Source organism: Homo sapiens, chromosome 14 (assembly GCF_000001405.40).
Source record: "Homo sapiens chromosome 14, GRCh38.p14 Primary Assembly".
Taxonomy (NCBI): Eukaryota; Metazoa; Chordata; class Mammalia; order Primates; family Hominidae; genus Homo; species Homo sapiens.
The window spans coordinates 46,430,312-46,450,219 of record NC_000014.9 but is presented as its reverse complement, the minus strand read 5'-3'; the positions used below and the strand labels follow the sequence as shown (position 1 = coordinate 46,450,219).

The following is a 19,908-nucleotide window of genomic DNA, read 5'->3' as shown; positions in this document are numbered from 1 at the left end:
GGAGCTAAAAAGTCTTTTAAACACACTTTATCTCTATCTATCCATCCATCCATCCATCCATCCATCCATGTATGTATTCATCCATCTATCTATTTATAGGCAAAACAACTGCACACTCTTAGCAATTTGTCAACCTGAGTAAAAAGTGTATGGTTGTTTACTATAAAGTTCTGCAGGATTAAAATTTTAAAAAAATGTATTGTTGGGAAAAAAAGATGAAACAAGATAAAAATATTTTGTCACCTCTTATTTTTTTTCTGCTTACCTTCTTTTGCTCCCTGTTCCCACGTAAGACAAAACTGTCCTGAAATTCTGATTTTGAGGTTCCAGTGTATTCCTGTACAGGAAGGTCCATCCATGTAAAAGAAGATATGATTTGCATGGATGAAATCTTCATATTACTCTCATTCATTTTCCATTCAGAATGACCTCACTAAGTTTATGTAAGATGTTTTTGGAGAGATTTCTATAACAATTTTGCTAACAATTTAAAATGTTTCTATTTTCTATTAACCCTAATATTTTTCCATATCAAAAACAATTAGACCATCAATGAGCTTGTTCTTTTCATCCTCAAAGTAAATTTATTCATGTTTACCTACCGTTATCTGAGTTTTTTCTCAGATGCTACTAAATTTAATCCAATAGTCTCTGCAATTTTAATTTATTACCATTATACACATTTCTGTCTTCTATAAGTTACACTTTCTATAATGGTAAAAGCAGAATTGATGTGGTTGTTACTAGATTAATTTCTATGCACTTGTCTCAATTATTTTTCTTAGCCATTACTTAGAAGTCTATATAATTTATATTCCACTATGTAGCAGTATGTACTCTGTCAACTTAGTTATGTTAAAACTGTTGCCTGGAATTTCATATTTTATATCCTCCAGCCTAGTGATGCAGGATTTTTCTCAGCCACTTTGCCAACCAGGGACCTCCACAATTAGCAACACCCCCCTGCTACCCAGGCCTCACTCAGGCCGGGCCTGCCACTGGAGGCACCCCACCGACTTGGCCTGCCCGTGGTATAACTTGTACTTGCATTTGGTGGTTCTCATGCTCTTGTCCCTCATCCAAGCAGAATGAGGATACACTGACAGTTCAAAGAGCGAGGAGGGCGGGGAAGAACTTTATTGAGTGATGGAACAGCTCTCAGTGGAGAGGGGCCACAGGCGTGGTTCCTCACCCCTGCACTCAGGTGGGTTTCTCCTCCAGTGTGGCTGTGTCCAGGAATTTTATGGACTCAGAATGGGGAGTGCATGCTGATTGGCTTTGAGTATGCAAAAAAGGTTAAAGAGAAGACATGGTGCAAAGGTGGGCACGACTATAGAAAACCAATTAGGAAAGGGTAGGTATCTGTAAAAGAGGCGAAGGGTGGGGATCACTCAGAGGAAAGCCTGCCAAATGGGAAGACAGGTTCTTAATCCAGTCTGTGGATTTGACTTGTAGCTTGGCTTTCAGGCTTTAAACTGTCTTCCTTGGAGGTGGGGTTTCACTGAGGACCTGTCCCTATCTACCTAGGCATATGACTGCCTCCTGTCACTGTGATTAGAGTTAGCCAAAATAAGAAATTGTTTCACATTTAGAAGACAGAAGTTAAGCAGCTACCATTACTCTTTGAAGGTGATTAAATTGAATGCTGTGACAGTCAAAAAGAGTTGGTTCCATTTTGTGTTACTCTGTGTTCAGCTCTTCTCACTGCCAGCCCTGTGGCTGAAAAGAAACTGAAGCCCACAGTCAGATGTTCTGCTGAAGACCTTTAAAAGCAGGATTTATGCAATGTGAACAATTTCCCCAAATATTTTCCCTTTACTTCTCTGATGTTTCCATTTTATTTGGCAGCTCTACATTACCGGCTTCCCAGAATCCCCTGCAACTCCTGACTTTTTTGCATAAATCGTTATTTTAGTAGGACTGATTTGTGACTTTTCCCTGATCTCCCAAATCTCCCTTAGATTTTTTTTTCCCCAGTCTCTCCCACAATTACATAAAACTTTATTCTTATAATAAGTCTATAATTTGTAATTCTCATGGCAGATATATTTTAACGTTTAAACTCTATCATTGCAATTATTTTATAAACAATAATGAATGTCTCAGAGTCTTACATGTTGGTTTGCAAGATTCCGTACGATGTAAAATTAAGACAGTTGTTCTATTTTTACATTTATCAGATTCCTTCGAAGTATGGTTATTCACTCTGTATGCTATTTATTTATGGGAATAGTTGTGAAAATTTCCTTTCCATAAATCTAAGATGTAGTTTCAGCATAAAATTATGTAATTTAATGAATCTTATTCCAAGTGCACTACGGGTTTGGAAACTTATCTTTGTAAAACAAATAATTAGTTATGGAAATTTTCACTTGATAATTAGAAAAGGAGTCAAAGTTCATTTCACAAAGGCTTAATACTTCTTTTTACTTTAGATAATTTAAACAAAAGAAACTCTTTTAGTGTTAAGCCTAATTAATTTTTTCTCTTTTGCAGTATACATTTCTTTGTAATTTTTCAAGGTCGTAGTTAAAACACATTGAATAATACATTTATCTCAACAGAGGATATAATAAATGGTAGATTTACACTTAAAAACAAAAGCTCTGTTTTCAGTAAGGTAAGATTCAGCTCCCTTCTTTGTATTTCAATTCCCAGTTCTTTGCAGTTTCCTCTCCTATACAAGTATTCATTATCACAGGGAGGAAGTCTTGCCACATGCAGTGACAAATTGTTTCATTTATTTAAGATAGAACCTTTGTATTTCACTCCATATGCTAATGCAAACACATCTTTAATGATTAGGAAAAGATAAAATCCTTACCTACTAGGAGCAGAAATTTCTGTGTTCACAGGTTTATAAGCAAACCACATACTGAGTTGCCAGTCCTGCCGCCTGAACAACAGTCTCCTTTTAATCAGTAAATCATTATGCCAATAACAGCATCAACAACAAAAAGTTGTATGGTATTTTGAGATTAGCTTCAAATCTTGCTTTGCACATTCACAAAGATAATACCAGAGAAAAGCCCACCACTCAACTGACTCAAAAAAATGAGACTTTAAGGAGTCAAAGAAGAAGAGTCTCATCTTTTATCTAAACCAAGACTCAAGCCACTTGGCTTGTGAAGCTGCCAAACTATGATTATCAACTCTTCCTTCACCAGTTTGTTACTAGTGGAAGGTATTTGAGTTTCTGGTGGTGAATCCATCTGGGTCTGCAGCAATCTCAATTCTTGCCTACTTCAGAAGAAAGAATTCGACTGAGGGGCATAAGGCAGAAAAAGAGACTGAGGCCAAGTTTCAGAGCAGGATTGGAAGTTTATTAAAAAGCTTTAGCACGGGAAAGAAAGGAAAGTGCACTTGAGAGAGCGCCAAGTGGTCCATTTGAAGAGCAAGTGCTCTGTTTAACCTTAATCCTACAACTTTATAGGGTGGCCCACCTCCAGTGTCTTGCCTGTCTTTCCCGTGATTCTTACCTTAGAATGGGCTCCCTGTATGTGCAGTGCACTCCTTATCCTTGGGAAGTGAGCCTGAGCAGTGTGTTTAGGAAATCGTATGCATGCCCATCTGAGGCTTTCTTCCCTTTTCCAGTGGAGTGCCCCTGGAAGCTCATTCTCCAAAATTCTGTCTCTTAATGAACATGCTTGGGCTTACTTACCCAATACCTGAGATTTTACTGGAAGCCCTTCTTGCTTCTCCCTGATGCCTGCATTCAATTAACACTTTAATATTAACAGCTGTGGATCAGCGGGAGATTGTCTCTCCCTGGTGTCAGCTACCAAATATTATTATTTTTAGAGAGGCAATGTGACAATCCTTGAATCATCACCTGATTGCCTGACATTCCTGGTGGGTGGGTGGGGACAGCCCTCTCCTGCCCTGATCATGCCTGTCTAACTACCTGTAACAAACTTAATCTCGTCAAATGGTTGCTTCTCAAATATCAGAAATACAACCTATTAATATGACAAAGCTAAGTACATTGCTTACCCTGGTAAGGGAGAAAACCACCTGAAGAAGTTGGGGCAGTGTCTTGAAGAGTGATGCATAAGGCAAGATGCACAAAAGAATGGAAAAGAAGCAAAAATGATCATAATTAGTTTTGATGCATCTTAGTTTATAAGTTACCTACTTCAGTCTAAATCACACTGTCATAAACATCCCTTGAGATTTTTTAAAAAAATGAAACTATGGGAATAATGGCCTTCACATACCAAGATACATGATAAAAGAGGTGAAGACTTACTGAGGTGTCTTTTCACTTGCTCTAAAGTATCTTCTTTCTATTACCTAGCAGCTCCTTTATTTAGCTTCTGGAGCTATCCATGCTGCCCTATGTCTGTTCCAAAGTTCATACCAGATCTTAGTAGAAAAAGCTGAGGTGCCGATGTTATCTCTTTTTTATCAAATATAATAAACATTCCTTTAGAGTGACAGATAGTGGCTAAGGAGAATTCAGCAGTGAATGGATTCCTAATTTTCCTTCCATACCTACCTCAAGAAGTCATCTCCCCTAGGAAATATTGGATCCTTCACTTGAATTAGATATGCCTCCTATGTCCTCTCATGATGTTTATAACTATCCAGTATCAAATTATATTATAACTATGTGTGTTTTTCTTTATATCCATTATCAGTCTGTTAATTCTTAAGGGTAAAATATGCCTAAGGAGGCTCTGTATCCACAATGTCAAGAAATGCTGGCTTAATGAATGAATGAAGTAATTCTAACTGAAATGTGAAATACAAACCCTTTGCTGAGAAACCTGCTAATAAAAAATATCTCTAATATTTGAAAGGGGGAAGCTTATAGCCAAATGTTGCCAGATAATCTTAGACAATTTTATTCATATTAAAAGGAATATAAAAAGCATGATTTTCAAATTGTTAAAAGTAATTGTAATAAAGATAATAATCACATGTTAAAATTTTAGTTTTATTTAAGAATCAACAGAGACAAGATGGGGGTTGATGATTTGGGATGACAAATCCAAAGGGGAAAGGAATACTGAATTTAAAATGTCAAGTTAGGTATAACTGATCAACATTTTTTTATGGTAAAATCAAAGCCTTCAGGGTGTATATGTTCCCAGCAAGTAAAAATTAAATCACAACTTATAATTTTTCTACAAATTAACCTCGAAAGTGAAATATCTGTAAAAGATGTGGACTTTTAATCACCTTTACTCAAAACAAAGTTGCGATCTCTCAGACAATAGGAAAACTAGAAAGAAGCCTAATATGAAAACCCTCTAGAACAAAGGTATACAAACTTCTGCTCTGTAAATCATTACTAGCCTGCTAAAAGGCAGGAAACTCATTCCAGAATGTAAATTACTTAATCTCTAAACACTCTATTTTGTTTGGCTGACATTTTCTTCCTAGAAAGACTTTGTCAATTAAAGTTTATATCCTGGTACAAGTTTCTTGTCTCGTTTGAAACTAAATTCATCATGTACCAGGAGACCAGAGGACAGAGGGAGCAGTTTTTCGCAAGCATCGTTTGCCTACTCCATGGATGAGCATGCTATCGTAAGTAGAATCAAACTAAAACCAAATTGTATCATAATCTTTCTTGTCCCTAAGAACCACCTCAGATCCTTCAGGGGAAATCCAGGATACTACTGTAATGGGTTTACTGGTAGCTCTGAAAAAAATATGTTCTAATCCTCTAATGTAACCTGCAAATATTACCTTACTTGGAAAAAGAGTCTTTGCAGATGCAGTAAAGTAAGAATGTATCATCCTGGATTATCTTGGTAGGCCCTAAATCCAATGACAATTGTCCTTACAAAAGACCCACAAAGGAATAAACAGACACAGAAAAGAAGTTGATATTAAGCTTAAGGCAAAAACTGGGGTTTGGCCTTAGGACAAGCAAGCTAGCAACTACTAGAAGCTGGCAGAGGCAAGAAACAGATTCTGTCCTAGACTCCCTGTGGGGAGTACAACAATCCAGCTGGATTTCAGAATTCTGGAATCTAGAACTGTAAGAAAATAAACTTTATGTTTTTTTCAAGCCACAAAGTGTGTGCTAATTTGATACGGTAGCCTCAGGCAACTAATGCAACAATTCTTATATATTTTGTGGAATCTAAAAATCTGTGCAAATCATCAAGAGAACTCTTAATACTAGCCAAGATAGACACCTACCCACATGTATAAAAGACATGTAATACAACATATATAAAAGACATGTTGACTTTGTGATGAATGTTCTGTTATGATGCCTTAAATAAACCTTAATTTTACTCATATAAGTGGCTTATTTCTTGGTGACATTAATTTGTGACTACTACCCAAAGAACAATTCCATTATTACTGAATTTTCATACTGAATTCAAACACTAACAACTATCAGAATTGGCCAACTTGAAATTTGATAAATTAGGCTGAAACATAAAGTTGCATTTTTTTCATTATACTTTAAGTTCTGGGATACATGTGCAGAACGTGCAGGTTTGTTACATAGGTATACACGTGCCATGGTGGTTTGCTGCACCCATCAACCCGTCATCTACATTAGGTACTTCTCCTAATGCTATCCCTCCCCTAGCCCCCCACCCCCGACAGGCCCTGGTGTGTGATGTTCCCCTCCCTGTGTCCATGTGTTCTCATTGTTCAGCTCCCACTTATGAGTGAGAACACGCAGAGTTTGGCTTCCTGTTCCTGTTAGCCTGCTGAGAATGATGGTTTCCAGTTTCATCCATGTCACTGCAAAGGACATGAACTCTCCTTTTTATGGCTGCATAGTATTCCATGATGTGTATGTGCCACATTTTCTTTATCCAGTCTGTCACTGATGGGCATTTGGGTTGGTTCCAAGTCTTTGATATTGTGAATAGTGCTGCAATAAGCATATGTATGCATGTATCTTTATAGTAGAATGATTTATAATCCTTTGGGTGTATACCCAGTAATGGGATTGCTTGGTCAAAAGGTATTTCTGATTCTAGATCCTTGAGGAATTGCCACACTGTCTTCCACAATGGTTGAACTAATTTACACTCCCACCAACAGCATAAAAGCATTCCTATTTCTTCACATTCTCTCTAGCATCTGTTGTTTCCTGACTTTTTAATGATCGCCATTCTAACTGGCATGAGATGGTATCTCATTGTGGTTTTGATTTGCATTTCTCTAATGACCAGTGATAATGAGCTTTTTCTCATATGTTTGTTGGCTGCATAAATGTCTTCTTTTGAGAAGTGTCTGTTCATATCCTTCACCCACTTTTTCAAGGGGTTGTTTGTTCTTTTCTTCTAAATTTGTTTAAGTTCCTTGTAGATTCTGGATATTAGCCCTTTGTCCGATGGAAACATTTTCTCCCATTCTGTAGGTTGCCTGTTCACTCTGATGATAGCTTCTTTTGCTGTGCAGAAGCTCTTTAATTAGATCCCATTTGTCAATTTTGGCTTTTGCTGCCATTGCTTTTGGTGGTTTAATCATGAAGTCTTTGCCCATGACCATGTCCTGAGTAGTATTGCGTAGGTTTTCTTCTAGGGTTTTTATGGTTTTAGGTCTTACATTTAAGTCTTTAATCCATCTTGAGTTAATTTTTGTATAAAGTGTAAGGAAGGGGTCCAATTTCAATTTTCTGCTTATGGCTAGCCAGTTTTCCCAACACCATTTGTTAAATAGGGAATCCTATCCCAATTGCATGTTTTTTTTTCAGGTTTGTCAAAGATCAGATGGTTGTAGATGTGTGGCATTATTTCTGAGGTTCTGTTCCATTGGTCTATATATTTGTTTTGGTACCAGTACCATGCTGTTTTGGTTACTGTAGCCTTGTAATATAGTTTGAAGTCAGGTAGCATGATGTCTCCAGCTTTCTTCTTTATGCTTGGGTATATACCCAGTAATGGGATTGGCTATACGGTCTCTTTTTTGGTTCCATGTGAAATTTAAAGTAGTTTTTTACTAACTCTGTGAAGAAAGTCAATGGTAGCTTGATGGGAATGGCATTGAATCTATAAATTACTTTGGGCAGTATGGCCATTTTCATGATATTGATTCTTCCTATCCATGAGCATGGATTGTTTTGCCATTTGTCTGTGTCTTCTCTTATTTCCTTGAGCAGTGGTTTGTAGTTGTCCTTGAAGAGGTCCTTCACATCCCTAGTCAGTTGTGTTCCTAGGTATTTTATTCTCTTAGTAGCAATTGTGAATGGGAGTTCACTCGTGATTTGGCTCTCTGTTTGTCTATTATTTGTGTATAGGAATGCTTGTGATTTCTGCATATTGATTTTGTATCCTGAGACTTTACTGAAGTTGCTTATCAGCTTAAGGAGATCTTGGGCTGAGATGATGGGTTTTCTAAGTATGAAATCATGTCATCTGCAAACAGAGACAATTTGACTTCCTCTCTTCCTATTTGAATAGCCATTATTACTTTCTCTTGCCTGATTTTCCTGACCAGAACTTTCAATAGTATGTTGAATAGGAGTGGTGAGAGAGGACATCCTTGTCTTGTGCCGGTTTTCAAAGGGAATGCTTTCTGCTTTTGCCCATTCAGTATGATAATGCCTGTGGGTTTGTTATGGGAACTAAAAATACAGCACTAGGACTTCATGATGCATACACAAGTATCAATAGCCGAATCAATCAATCAGAAGAAAGGATATCATTTGTCCTTGCTTCTCTAGTTCTTTCAATTGTGAGGTTAGGGTGTCAGTTTTAGATCTTTCCTGCTTTCTCCTGTGGGCATTTAGTGCTATACATTTCCCTGTAAACACTGCTTTTGCTGTGTCCCACAGATTCTGGTATGTTGTGTCTTTGTTCTCACTGGTTTCAAATAACTTATTTATTTCTGCCTTAATTCTGTTATTTACCCAGTAGTCAATCAGGAGTGGGTTGTACAGTTTCCATGTAGCTGTGTGGTTTTGACTGAGTTTCTTAATCCTGAGTTCTAATTTGATTGCACTGTGGTCTGAGAGACTATTTGTTATGATTTCCATTATTTTCCATTTGCTGAGGAGTGTTTTACTTCCATTTATGTGGTCAATCTTAGAATAAGTGTGATGAGGTACTGAGAAGAATGTATATTCTGTTTATTTGGGGTGGAGAGTTTTATAGATTTCTATTAGGTCCACTTGGTCCAGAGCTGAGTTCAAGTCCTGAATATCCTTGTTTATTTTCTGTCTTGATGATCTAATATTGACAGTGGGGTGTCAAAGTCTCCCACTATTATTCTGTGGGAGTCTAAGTCTCTTTGTAGGTCTCTAAGAACTTGCTTTATGAATCTGGGTGCTCCTATATTGGGTGTACGTATATATAGGATAGTTAGCTCTTCTGTTTGCATTGATCCCTTTACTATTATGTAATACCCTTGTCTGTCTTTTTAGATTTTTGCTGGTTTAAAGTCTGTTTTATCAGAGACTAGGATTGCAACCCTTGCTTTTTTTTTTTTTTTGGCTTTCCATTTGCTTGGTAAATATTCCTCCATCCCTTTGTGTTGAGCCTATATGTATCTTTGCACATAAGATGTGTCTCCTGAATACAGCACACCGATGGGTCTTGACTCTTTATCCATTTGCCAGTCTGTGTCTTTTAACTGGGGCTTTTAGCACAGTTACATTTAAGGTTAATATTGTTATGTGTGAATTGGATCCTGTCACTATGAAGCTAGCTGCTTATTTTGCCCATTATTTGATGCAGTTTCTTCATGGTGTTGATTTGGTCTTTACAATTTGGTATGTTTTTGCAGTGGCTGGTACCCATTTTTCCTTTCCATATTTAGTGCTTCCTTCAGGAGGTCTTGTAAGGTAGGCCTGGTGGTGACAAAATCTCTCAGCATTTGCTTGTCTGTAAAGGATTTTATTTCTCCTTTGCTTATGAAGCTTGGTTTGGCTGGATATGAAATTCTGGGTCGAAAATTCTTTTCTTTAAGAGTGTTGAATATTGGCCCCCACTCTCTTCTGGCTTGTAAGGTTTCTGCAGAGAGATCCACTGTTAGTTTGATGGGCTTCCCTTTGTGAGTAACCCAATGTTTCTCTCTGGCTGCCTTTAACATTTTTTTCTTCATTTCGACCTTAGTGAATCTGACAATTATGTTCCTTGGGTTGCTCTTCTCGAGGAGTGTCTTTGTGATGTTTTCTGTATTTCCCGAATTTGAATGTTGGCCTATCTTGCTAGGTTGGAAAAGTTCTCCTGGATATTATACTGAAGAGTGTTTTCCAACTTGGTTCCATTCTCCCTGTCGCTGTCAGGTACACCAATCAAACGTAAGTTGGGTCTTTTCACATAGTCCCATATTTCTTGGAGGCTTGGTTCGTTCCTTTTCATTCTTTTTCTCTCTAATCTTGTCTTCATGCTTTATTTCATCAAGTTGATCTTCAATCTGTGATAACCTTTCTTCTGCTTGATCGATTCAGCTATTGATACTTGTGTATGCTTCACGAAGTTCTCATGCTGTGTCTCTCCGCTCCATCCAGGCATTTATGTTCTTCTCTAAACTGGTTATTCTAGTGAGCAATTCCTCTAACATTTTTTCAAGGTTCTTAGCTTCCTTGCTTTGGGTTAGAACATGCTCCTTTACCTTGGAGGAGTTTGTTATTACCCACCTTTTGAAGCCTACTTCTGTCAATTTGTCAAACTCATTCTCCATCCAGTTTTGTTCCCTTGCTGGCGAAGAGTTGTGATTTTTCGGAGGAGAAGAGGCATTCTGTTTTTTGAAATTTTTAGCCTTTTTGCACTGGTTTTTCCTCATCTTTGTGGATTTATCTACCTTTGGTCTTTGATGTTGGTGACCTTCGGATGGGTTTTTTGTGTGGACATCCTTTTTGTTGATGTTGATGTTATTTTTTTCTGTTAGCTTTCCTTCTAACGGTCAATACTGTCTGCTGCAGGTCTGCTAGAGTTTGCTGGAGGTCCACTTCAGACCCTGTTTGCCTGGGTATCACCCAGGCAATCAAAGATTGCTGCTTGTTCTTTCCTCTGGAAGCTCTGTCACAGAGGGGCATCTGCCAGATGCCAGCCAGAGCTCTCCTGTATGAGGTGTCTGTCGATCCCTGCTGGGAGGTGTCTCCCCATCAGGAGGCATGGGAGTCAGGGACCCACTTGAGGAAGCAGTCTGTCCCTTAGCAGAGCTTGAGTGCTGTCCTGAGAGATCTGCTGCTCTCTTCAGAGCTGGCCGGCAGGAACGTTTAAGTCTGCTATAGCTGTGCCCACAGCTGCCCTTCCCCCAGGTGCTCTATCCCAGGGAGTTGGGAGTTTTATCTATAAGCCCCTGACTGGGGCTGCTGCCTTTCTTTCATGGATGCCCTGCCCAGAGAGGGGGAATCTAGAGAGGCAGGCTGGCTACAGCGGCTTTGGTGAGCTGTGATGTGCTCTGCCCAGTTCGAACTCCCCTGGGGTTTTGTTTAGGCTGCGAGGGGAAAACCACCTACTGAAGCCTCAGTAATGGTGGACGCCCCTCCCCGTGCCAAGCTCGAGCATCCCAGGTCAACTTCAAACTGCTGTGCTGGCAGCAAGAACTTCAAGCCAGTGGATCTTAGCTTGCTGGGCGCCCTGGGGGTGGGATCCACTGAGTTAGACCACTTGTCTCCCTGGCTTCAGCCCCCTTCCCAGGGGAGTGAATGGTTCTGTCTTGATAGCGTTCCAGGCGCCACTGTGGTATGAAAAAAACAACTTCTGCAGCTAGCTTGGTATCTGACCAAATGGCCACCCAGTTTTGTGCTTGAAACCCAGGGTCCTGGTTGTGTAGGTACCCTAGAGAATCTCCTGGTCTGAGGGTTGCAAAGACTGTGGGAAAAGCATAGTGTCTGGGCCGGAGTGCATGGTTCCTCACAGCACAGTCTGTCATGGCTTCTCTTGGCTAGGGGAGGGAGTTCCCAGACCCCTTGCGCTTCCTGGGTGAGGCGATGCCCCACCCTGCTTCTGCTCACCCTCCGTGGGCCGCACACACACTCTGACCAGTCCCAGTGAGATGAACCAGGTACCTCAGTTGCAAATGCAGAAATCACCCACCTTCTGCATTGATCTCACTGGGAGCTGCAGACTGGAGCTGTTCATCTTTAGCCATCTTGCCAGCCACCTCCTGAAATAGTAGTTTCATAAAATGCTAAATTAGTTACTTTTAGTCAGTGACTAACAACTTTATACTTTCTATTTATTTTGCTTTGTCTTGCTTTTTTTATACTGGTTTCTATTTATTTTGCTTTGCCGTTGCTTTCCTGTCTTCAGTTGGAATAGTCAAATTATTTCAGTCTTCCTTTCCTTTGTCTTTGATTGCTTTAAAATTTTTATTTCTACTACTTTATGCATTACTCTTAATGTATTTACATGTGTACTTGTTTCTAAAAGGTCTACACTTAATCCTTAATCCTGCCATTCTTTTTTTTTTTTTTTTTTTTGGATACAGCGTTTCACTCTGTCACCCAGGCTGGTGTGCAGTGGCGTAATTACTGTTCTCTGTAGCTTTGAACCCCCAGGCTCAATTCATCCTCCTCCTACCTCAGCCTCCTGGGTACCTGGGACCACAGGTGCATGCCACCATGCTTAGCTAATTTTTTTTTGTATTTTTGTTGTTGTTGTTGAGATGATGTTTTGCCATGTTTCCCAGGCTGGTCCATTCTTATTAAAGAGAACCAGAACCCAGCATCTTAAGCCTCATTCTGATTAGTTTTCTCTGACATATTATTTAGAAATTTGGTCTCATTTTGTTTTTTTACGTTTCAAATTAGTCATAATTTCATATATATATATATATTTTTTTTTTTTACAGAGAGTCAATGTCCCTTTAACTACACCTAGATATTTGGCAAGTTTCCCCCACTATTCCTGAAATTTCAGTCCTACTTCCTAGGTATTTCCTTCTTTATGAAGTACAGCATTTCAAAATTCCCTCAGTGAAAGTAACTAGGTGATAAACTCTCTTAAGTTTCTGTTGCCTATAAAATTATTTAGCTTTTACTTTTGAATGATAGCTTAGTTCAATTTAAAATTCAAGGTTTATAGATATTTTTCTTGTATTTAAAAGATTCTAAGATAAAAGTTGAAATTATTTTTTAAAAGACTCTATTTCAATGTCTTACATTTTTTCTCTTTTTTCAAGACAGTGTCTTGCTGTGTCGCCCAGGCTGGAGTGCCCTGGTGCAATTTTGGATCATTGAACCCTGGACCTCCCAGGCTCAACCAATCCTCCCAACTCAGCCTTCCAGGTAGCTTAGACTATAGGCATTACTCATCACGCTTGGCTAATTAACTTTTTGTAGAGATGAGGTCTCACTACATTGCCAGGCTTGTCTCCAACTCCTGGGTTTAAGTGATCCTCCTAGTCCTCCCAAAGAGCTGGGATTGCAGGTGTGAGCCACCACACCTGGCCTATTTTTTTCTTTATTCTGACTGTTGAGAAGTCTAATCATTATGCCTTTGTTGATAAACTATCTTTCCCTTGACAGCTTTTAAGCGTCTCTTCTTAAGTATTCAGTATTTGGCCACAAAATATCAAGATATATATTATTATTATTCATTCTACTGTAAATCATTTCTTCATCAGTTCTTAACATTTCTTAACCATTATCTCTTCAAATATTAACTCTTTATCTACTTTCTCCATCTTGAAATATATTTAGGTACATGTTAAATCTTATTTCATTTTCCATGTATTTTCGACTCTTATTTTTATTTCTTGTCTCTATGCCTCTATGTATTAAGTTTGCTTAATTTATTTAAGACTGTCTTCCAGTTAGTTTCCTCACAACTTTTTCAAATCTGTCTAATCTGTAATGTAACTCATCAACCAAGTTTTGATTTTTATTAAACATTTATTTTTAAGTGCTCTTTGTCTTTTTTTTTTTAAATTGTCTTACCTTTATTATATCTTTTTCTATTCTTAAGCTTCTTAAATATCTTCCGTTAAATTTCAAGGATAATTGTTTGGGTCTTCACTCCTTCAATTCCATTATGTGAATTACTTGTAAGTCTAATTTTAATGTTTGTTGTTTAATCTGAATTGTGGCAAAACAGCAAAATTATCACAAAACATTTGGTGTTGAATTGCATGTAGAGACTTAATATGACCCTAGCACAGAAGAATTTACTTTGAAGATAAAATTCCAATAATATGAAAAGAAAGAAATCAGCATAAAGTTAATTAATGTGGTATCATGTTTTCAGAGCAAAACAAAATGAAAACCAAAGTAATGTCAATAGAGAATATTGCTTGAATAACCTGTTGTATATCCACGCAATATGGACACATGCATGTATGTATGGATGGATCTATGTATGTATACACACATGCAAACACACACATACATATACACACATATTCATTCTACTGCATGTATCTGCTTATTTAAAAAAAATAAAGACACAGGACACAAGAAGCATGAATGATAATGTAATGGAATTAATGATTATTTATGGGAGAAATATTTGACCACAATTTTTCTCCTTTGCTATTTGTATAATCACTAGTATATAAAGAACATGTGTGATGTAAAATTCTTCATGTTTCTCAATAAAACACGGATTTTTAGAAAAATTTCATGCAGAGATAATCAAAAGGAAGATCACATGCACTCATCTATATTGAAGTAATCTCTTTAATTATATATACAGCTCTAGTGCATAATTTCATGTAAACACTGTATAATCTCTTTTAGTTCTTCACATATTTGACTAATGTGCATAACTGAGTTAGTCTGCCACTGTCTGATTTTCTGGAAGACTGATTCACTCTCTGCTCTAGTTTAACCCTAGAAAATGCCCAAATATTAACAGGAGGAAGAAATATGTGTTTACTGTAACTTCATAAACATCACATATAAAAAGTAATTAAAATTGTCCTCTTTTCAGTAGGAACATCTTGCAGTATTTTTCCCCAATGAATGTAGAGCACTATTAATGGCACAAATAAATATAAAATAAACTTCTGGGCCTTAAGGCCTTCAGGAAATTTCTGAATCCAGTAATAATCAAGAAAACATTGCATATTGGCATAAAGAAACACATATAATGATTGACACAATGTTTTCCACAACAGCAGCAGAAAATTCAAAGAAGCATTTCTCTTGAGCATCTATTAATAAACTTAAAAATAGTGCCCAAAAGACGACTGTATTGCACTGTCTCCTTTTACATTTCCTTTACCATTAGAAAGTTAAGGATCGATGAGCAGACCCACTGAATACCATGGCCTAAGTTGTTAGAAATCCTCTCTTTCAATGATTATTTCTTTCTCCCCAATATTTAGCTTCCTTCTATCTTTTCACTGTTAGTCTCAGAAAGGTAGCCTACATATGTTTTCTATACTTTTCCTCTATCTTTCAGCTTACTGTAAGTTGAGTCCTCTGATATAATACTGAAAAAATGCCCCCAACATTTACAGATGGCTTGATAATTGAATATGATCTGGTTTCAGAAAAAACAAATGGAGAGTACATGTGTTCAAATTACTATTGCTGGGTAAAAGTAGACATTCACAAAAGAGAAATTTTTGTTTTGTGGATGCTCACTGCAAAACCTGTAAATTTTCATTTCCCTCTAAATTATCATTAGGAATTTAAAGGAATATAGTTTTCTATCCTTATGTTCATCAATAGTGAGAAAGTAAAAAAATACCTTAGCTGCTTGCTTCATTTCAGGAAATATGTGTACCAGAAAAATAGAACTAAGAACCAACTAAACTGGCTCACATTTCAAGCCTAACAGCTTGCTTTTTCTGACTGTTTTGATGAACAGCTTTCTCATCAAGACATACTTCAAGACCCTTACTTTAATGTTACCACCAATTCAAAACTTTCATGTCATAAACTCTGACAGATCCCTACACATTTATGACTCCGAAACCAGGGTCAAATATATAATTTGCAGAGCTCAGTGTAAAATGAAATTTGGGGCCCGTTCTTCAAAAAGTGAGGACAAGATGACATTAAAAATACTAAATACAGCATTTTTCTATTTCTTTCATTGTCTATCTGTTAACATGCCATGGTATTTTTTATTTGCTATTTAATAATGCTTTTCATTAAAACATTAAACTTTTAAGTCATTAGCATGATTTTTTCCATTCACTTTTATATTGTGAAATGTCAGTTTTAAAGACACTTAACTGTTATGTGGAATCACCAAAATGCACAATTTAAGTTTTGCAGCTCAAATATTCATCTGTACACCGTTCTTACCAGAATAGAAAAATACTGCATAAAACTAAACATTTTTATTTCACTTTCATGAGCAAACATTCTACCAATACTTTCTACCTTTAGCTTACTGATGAGTAAGGAAAACTGAAAAAAAAAGGAACTATGTGCTGCCCTATCTTTCCCTCTTAGCATAAGAAGTTGGTTGATACTTAGAAATAATAGGAGTAAGAATGAATATGGATTTCTTTGATGGATATATAGATGTGATGGGTCTATAGATATAACTGCGTATATAGAACCTATGTGGATATATATAGACATATATGGATATAGGTTTCTTTCATTGTTTATGTTTTTTGAAATACAATTTCCTTCTTCTTCTGCATTTTAAATAAGTTCTGGTTGAACAAAAGTGTTGCCTATTGAAGCTGTCAATATCCCTGCTTACCCAGTTGTAGGCGTAAAACAATATGTGCTTGCTTTGTCTTGCTTTTTTGCTGAACTCCAGGCATTGTGGATTCACAGGTAATTGAATCATGGGGTCTGGTCTTTCTCATGCTATTCTCATGATAGTGAATAAATAAGTCTCATGAGATCTGATGGGTTTATCAAGGATCTCCGCTTTTGCTTCTTCCTCATTTTTCTCTTGCCACAACCATGTAAGAAGTGCCTTTTGCCTCCCGCTATGATTCTGAGGCCTCCCCAGCCATGTGGAACTATAAGTCCAATTAAACCTCTTTTTGTTCCCAGTTTCAGGTATGTCTTTATCAGCAGTGTGAAAACAAACCAATACAGTAAATTGGTACCAGAAGAGTGGGGCGTTGCTGAAAAGATATCCAAAAATGTAGAAGCAACTTTGGAACTGGGTAACAGGCAGAGGTTGGAACAGTTTGGAGGGCTCAGAAGACAGGAAAATGTGGGAAAGTTTGGAACCTCCTAGGGACTTATTGAATGGCTTTGACAAAAACGCTGATAGTGATATGAACTGGTGTCAGATGGAGATGAGAAACTTGTTGGGAACTGGAGCAAAGGTGACTTATGTTGCAAAGGGACTAGCAGCATTTTGCCCCTGCCCTAGAGATTTTTGGAACTTTGAGCTTGAGAGACATGATGTAGAGTATTTGGTGGAAGAAATTTCTAAGCAGCAAAGCATTCAAAAGGTGAATTGGGTGCTGCTGAAAGCATTGCATTTTAAAAGGGAAACAGAGCATAAAAAATCAGAAAATTTGCAGCCTGATGATGCAGTAGAAAAGAAAAACCCTTTTTCTTTCTCTCTTTTTTTTTTTTGAGGAGAAATTCAAGCTGGCTGCAGAAATTTGCATAAGTAGCAAGGAACCTAATGTTAATTCCCAAGACAATGGGGAAATGTTTCGAGACCATGGCAGAGACCTTCACAGCAGCCCCTCCCATCACAGGCCCAGAAGTACAGCAGAAAAAAGTGGTTTCCTGGGCAGGCCCAGGGTTTCTGCGCTGTGTGCAGCCTAGGGATTTGGTGCCCTGTGTCCCAGCTGCTCCAGCCATTGCTGAAAAGGGCCAAGGTACAGCTTGGGCTGTGGCTTCAGAAAGTGGAAGCCCCAAGCCTTGGCAGCTTCAGGTGATGTTAAGCCTGTGGGTGCACAGAAGTCAAGCATTGAGATTTGGGAACTTCAAACTAGATTTCAGAAGATGTACGGAAATGCCTAGATACCCAGGCAAAAGTTTGCTGCAGGGGCAGGCCCTTGTGGAAAATCTCTGCTAGGGCAATGCGGAAGGGATATGTGGGGTTAAAACCCCCATCCAGAGTCCCTACTGGGGCACTGCCTAGTGGAACTGTGAGAAGACGGTCACTGTACTCCAGAACCCAGAATGGTAGATCAACAGACAGCTTGCACCGTTCACCTGGAAAAGCTGCAGACACTCAATGCCAGCCCGTGAAAGCAGACAGGAGGGAGGCTGCACCCTGCAAAGCCACAGGGGCGGAGCTGCCCAAGACCATGGAAACCCATCCCTTGCATCAGCATGACCTGGAGGTGAACCTGGAGTCAAAGGAGATCATTTTTGGAGCCTTAAGATTTGATTTCTCCAGGATTTTGCACTTGCATGGGTTCTGTAACCCCTTTGTTTTGGCCAATTGCTCCCATTTGGAAAGGCTGTACTTACCCAATACCTGTACCCGCATTGTACCTAGGAAGTAACTATCTGACTTTTGATTGTACAGGCTCATAAGTGGAAGGGACTTGGCTTGTCTCAGATGCGACTTTGGACTGTGGACTTTGGAGTTAACGCTGAAATGAGTTAAGACTTTGGGGTACTGTTGGGAAGGCACGATTGGAATTTAAATGTGAGGACATGAAATTTGGAAGGGCCAGGGGCAGAATGATATGGTTTGGCCGTGTCCCCACTCAAATCTCAACTTGAATTGTATCTCCCAGAATTCCCACGTGTTGTGGGAGGCACCCAGGTGGAGGTAACTGAATCATTGTGACTGGTCTTTCCCGAGCTATTCCGGTGATAGTGAATAAATCTCACGAGATCTGATAGGTTTATCAGGGGTTTCTGCTTTTGCTTCTTCCTTGTTTTTCTCTTGCTGCTGCCATATAAGAAGTGCCTTTCACCTCCTGCCATGATTATGAGTGCTCCCCAGCCTTGTGGAACTATAAGTCCATTAAACCTCTTTTTGTTCCAGTTTCGGGTATGTTTTTATCAGCAGCATGAAAACGAACTAATACAACACGAATTCTTTACTCACAGGGCATCATGAACATCTCTGCAAGTGGAGTTGCAACGAAGCTAGATATACACACTGTGTATACCTTTTCTGCTCACAAATGTGCTCATCTCTCATTACACTTCACTTAGAAAGTACAAGTTCAAAGATAGATAAATTAAGAATTTAAAAATGGAAAAAAAAGAGAGTGCTAAACCAAGTACAAGGCAGTCTCACATGCAACACTCATCTCAAAAATTACCTATCCCCATTTTCAAAACTCCTACACATACCTGTCCCTAATGTTTTCCTTCTGAGACACTACTAAGGTTCTGTTAAGGTGGTGTTCTTCCTTACTGCAGTAAGATTAGTAAACTCAGCTATACTTGATCAACAGGGCTTCCCTCACAGCTCTCATGGGGGAATTTTGATGCCAGAGAGTTTAGAATCAAATTTATGATCCAATATTACAAAGCATTAAAAGATCTCATAGTATGCATTTTATCCACTAATCTCTCCCATAATCCATTTTTTCTTCAAATTTTCCACTGTCTTATTGCTACTACATTTTTATGTTAAATTGTCCTGCTTTATCGTATACCTTTTTGATAAATCACTTTAAATCTTTTTAGAATAAGACAGACTATTAGTAAACTTTTAAACTGTACTTATCACACATGCTTACATGCAGATATAAGCATTATACAATATTTCCTGTTATTAGACCCTGTTTCCTCTCATGAGGAAATGATGATTCCTCTTTGAAAGTGAGGCTAAAGGAATAGTCCTGGTACCATCATATAGTATCAGGTTTCTGTGTTGTGTGTTCCAACCTGGATTTGTTTCACTCATTATGAATAAGAATGTCTATTTATTACTTCATTGTCTTTGTTGCTCATGTCTTACTTGTGTTGTTTTTGGTTTCTACCTATGAACATCCTCAAAATTTGATATGCAAATATTGCTTTCTTTTTATTTTTCTGTTGCTTATTCTTTACTTCCCTTCTGCTTAAACCACTTGTCTAATATTGATTACTTAACAGGTAATCAATATTAATAACCTGCTGTTCATTCTTTCATAATATTTCATCTCATATAATCAAATTCAAAAACAAATGGAAACACAAAC

General features: G+C 38.1%; 1 long non-coding RNA gene across 2 annotated transcripts in view; it reads right to left on the bottom strand.

Moving 5' to 3' along the window:
* The window catches only part of LINC00871 (long intergenic non-protein coding RNA 871), a 437,745-nt gene that overhangs the window by 51,684 nt on the left and 366,153 nt on the right, over positions 1 to 19,908 (bottom strand). The window contains exons 4-5 of one of the 2 annotated variants that reach the window (NR_102701.1): positions 11,970 to 12,039; positions 266 to 312 (exon numbers count right to left, since the gene is read on the bottom strand). The exons of the other annotated variant lie outside the window; for it this stretch is intronic. This is a non-coding gene — a long non-coding RNA (long intergenic non-protein coding RNA 871). The remainder of the gene's footprint in view (positions 1 to 265; positions 313 to 11,969; positions 12,040 to 19,908) is intronic. 2 annotated transcript variants of the gene reach the window in all.